Source organism: Homo sapiens, chromosome 13, assembly GCF_000001405.40.
Source record: "Homo sapiens chromosome 13, GRCh38.p14 Primary Assembly".
Taxonomy (NCBI): Eukaryota; Metazoa; Chordata; class Mammalia; order Primates; family Hominidae; genus Homo; species Homo sapiens.
Window position 1 is genome coordinate 74,826,600 of NC_000013.11, and position 4,242 is coordinate 74,830,841.

At 38.5% G+C, this 4,242-nt stretch overlaps 1 pseudogene; it reads left to right on the top strand.

Annotated features, from left to right (window-relative positions):
- On the top strand, nucleotides 1,867-3,690 carry RIOK3P1 (RIO kinase 3 pseudogene 1; annotated as a pseudogene).

Consider the following 4,242-nt stretch of genomic DNA (forward strand, 5'->3'; position numbering starts at 1 on the left):
AATTCATGTCTGTCTTAACACAAATCCTATGTGCTTTCTGTCTCACTGTGGCTCACATGCTAAAATCTCCTCCTATGATTCCATACAATATGCTATTTCACCTAGAGGGATTTTACAAACCATTTAAATGCAAACAGGGAGAATTCACCATTACTCTGCTATCATGGATTGTGTGTTTACGTACCCCACTGCCAAATTCATATGTTGAAACCCTAACCCCCAACAGAATGGTATTAGGAGGTGAGCCCTTTGGGAGGTAACTAGGTCATGAGGGTGGATGGAACCCCTATGATGGAATTAGTGTTCTCATAAAAAGGCAAATAGAGTTAGCTCAATCAATTTCTACTATGTGAAACTACAATGAAAAACTGGCAGTCTACATCCTGGAAGAGGGCCCTCACCAGAACTCAGCATGCTGGCACCCTGATCTTGGACTTCCAGCCACCAGGCCTGTGAGAAATACATTTCTGCTGTTTATAAGTGACCCAGTTTATCGTACTTTGTTACAGCGTCTCGAACTAAGACACTAATTATTTAACTTGTTTAACTATAAAACAAGACATGGTACATGCCCCCAAAAACCTCTGATTTGCATCTAACTGGAGGTTAGAATTTGGAAAATCTTATTATCTAAGGAAGGCTGCAGCTTCAATCAGAGGATGAAAAAGAGGTGACATCAATATCCATAATGTAAAGCATGTCTTAAAACAGCCCCCAAAGAACACTTAAATGTTGATAATGAAGATCAAGAGCTGCAAGTAGCATACAGTTGTATAACTGTTATTCAAACTAGGCATGTAAGAAAAAACATGTGATTAAACATTATTCCCAGTTGAGTCTAGGGGAAAAAGAACACACTAAAGGTATATATATACCTTTCTGGTTACCAAGTGGATGGTCTCTCTCCTCTTACCTCCTTGGATTAAAGGGTCTCTAAGATGTATTTAGCTTGTGAACCCCTATATTTAATTTCCATTTGGATTACACAGTGAACATTAATTACAGGTATACCTCCATTGTTTTCTACTTCACTTTATTGTGCTTCACAGACACTGTGGCAACCCTGAAGTGAGCAAGTCTATCAGCCCCATGTTTCCAATGTCATGTACACACTTGTGTCAAATTTTGGTAATTCTTGCAATATTTTAAACTTTTAAAATTAATATTATATCTATTATGGTGACCTGTGGTAAGTGATCTTTGATGTTACTATTACAATTGTTTTTGGGTATCAGGAACCCCACCCATATAAGATGGCAAAAACAGTAGGTAAATGTTGTGTGTGTGTTGACAGCTCCGCTAACTGGCTGTTACCACCTCTCTTCTTCTTGCACCTTCCTATTCCCTGAGACACAATATTGAAATGAGACAAATTAAAAACTCTACAATGGTGTATATACTCAAGTAAAAGGAAGAGTGACTCATCTCTCACTTTAAATCAAAAGTTAGAAATAATTAAGCTTAATGAGGAAGGCATATTGAAAGCCAAGATAGGCCAAAAGCTAGATTTTTTTTCACCAAACGGTTTGCCAAGTTGTGAATATAAAAGAAAAGTTCTTGAAGGGAATTAAATGTGCTACTCCAGTGAACATACAAATGTTAAGAAAGCAAGACAGCTTTATTGCTGATATGAGAAAGTTTAGTTGTCTGGATAGAAGATCAAACTAGCACCAACATCCCCTTAAGCCAAAGCCTAATCCAGAGCAAGGCCCTAACTCTCTTCTATTCTGTAAAGGCTGAGAGAGGTGAGGAAGATGCAAAGGAGAAAACCTGAAGCTGGCAGCGGTTCATTCATGAAGCTTAGGGATAGAAACTATCTTTATCACATAAAAATGTGAGATGGATCTGTCACTTCAGTTCTGGTTACCTTGGCTCCACCTATCTCCTTGGTAGAGCCTGCTTCCTGTCCTACCACCTCTGTGCTCTGTTCTTGTTACTGAACTTCTTCCCCTCCAAAATCTGGCGGAAGTGACATTGCCTAAGCCCAAGCCAGCAGTGGCCTGGGGACTCAGGAATTGTCCATGGGCTACCCTTCAAATGACAATATCTTGTTCTTTGGCTGATATAATGAGTGAACAGTTGGTCAAAGAACTGCAGTTAGGGGAAGAAACTGTCACTTTTCCTCAAGTAGCTGTTGCTAAAAGACCATTTATTACTGAAGAAAACATTGACACTTCCAGTGACCTAATGTTGGCTCAGATATTATACATGGAATTTGGCAAAGAATATGATGCACAATTAGACATAAAGAAAAGAAAATTCAGTGGAGATAGAAAAGTTTCCATGTCCTTTGAAAATTATTGAAAAGTGCATCCTGATGAAGACAGTGATAGCTCTGAAGGTGAGGCTGATTGGCAGGATACTCATGATGATCTCTACTGACTAGCAAAACCAGTTCCCACTCCCACAAAGGGTTTTATTGGAAAAGGAAAAGGCATTGCCACCAAACATCATGAAGTAGTATGTGGGAGAAAGAATCCAGCAAGAACGGAAAATTTTGCACCTGCATTTCAGGTAGAAGACAGAATGGATTTAAAACTACCAAACAAAGTTTTTGATGCTTCAAAACACCATGCCTACTCAGAAGAACAGCAAAGTGCCTGCCTCCACAAGAAAAAGGAGCATTCTACGGAAGAAAATGCAGTTGATCCTGAGACATGTTTTCTTATGTAAAAATGGTCAACTCTGGAATGTTTGAGACAATCATTGACTATTAGTACAGGAGAGAAATCTATTGTCTTTCATGTATACAGAAAGAGCACGGAGGATGAAAAGAAATATAGTAAAGTTATACCTACAGAATGTGCCATCATGGTATTTACAACAACCCTTAATGAGTGGAAGATTCATGACAAATAAGTTAAAGATGATCTTAGGTTTCAAGATCACCTCAGTAAACTAAGTCCACATAAGATTATTCACATGTGGGCAGAAAGCGAAATCCACAATCTCTCAAGAATGCAGAGAACTAGAATTCCTCATCCAACAGTTATACAACTTGAGTGCAAGAAATACATTTTAGTTATGTCTTTTATTGGCCATGATTATGTTCCAGCCCCTAAATTAAAAGAAGTAAAGCTCAGTAGTGAAGGAATGGAAGAAACCTACTAACAAACTCTTCATTTGATGCAGCGGTTATGTAATGAATGTACACTTTTTTATACCAACCTCAGCAAGTATAACATACTTTGGCATGCTGCAAAGGTCTGGTTGTTTGACATCAGTCAGTCAGAAGAACCAACGTGTCTTAATGGACTGGAATCATTGTTCCATGACTATAAAATGTCTCACACTTTTTCCAGAAAGGAGTAGTAAGGAAAGCCATTAATGAATGAGACCTCTTCAATGCTGTTTTAAACATCTCAGCAGATAATGAAGGGGATTTTTTTAGCTAAGACAGAAGCTTTGGAGAAAATGAATGAAGATCACATTCAGAAGAATGGAAAGAAAGCTGCTTCATGCCCACCAGTATTGTATGGTGAATATCACCAATGCCCACCGCTTTCAATGTAAACACAGAGGTGATTGCCAGTTGCCAATAGCAAACAAAGTTATGGTTGTACTCGCAGTACCAAAATATGAGAGGTATACAGTGGTGTTTCCCTGCTTTTCCCCCTCCTTGTAACACATGTGCCAAATGTGTGGAATTTTTAGCTCAGAATTGAGGAAATAAAATCTCACCACCTCTAAAAAAAAGTGCAAGGTGAAGCAGCAAATGCTGATGTAGAAGCTATAGCAAATTATCCGGAAGATCTAAGATAATTGATGAATGTAGCTACACTAAAAAACAGATCCTCCATGTAGATGAAATAGCTATCTATTGGGGAAAAAATGCCATCTGGGACTTTCATAGCTAGAGAAGTCAATGCCTGTCTTCAAAGCTTTAAAGGACAGACTGACTTTTTTATTAAAAGCTAATGCAGCTAGTGACTTAAAGCCAATGCTCATTTACCATTTCTGAAGTACCAGGGCCTTTAAAAATTATACTAAATCTACTCTGCCTGTGCTCTAGAAATGGAAAAACGAAGCCTAGATGACAGCACATCCTTTTACAGCAAGGTTAAATGAATATTCTAAGCCCATTGTTGAGAACCGCTACTCAGAAAAAGACTTCTAGCCACCTAAGAGCTCTGTTGGAGATGCACAAGGAGATTAAGGTTGTTTTCATGTCTGCTAACAGAACATCCACTCTGCTTCCCGTGGATCAAGGAGTCATTTCAACTTCCAAATATATTATTTAAG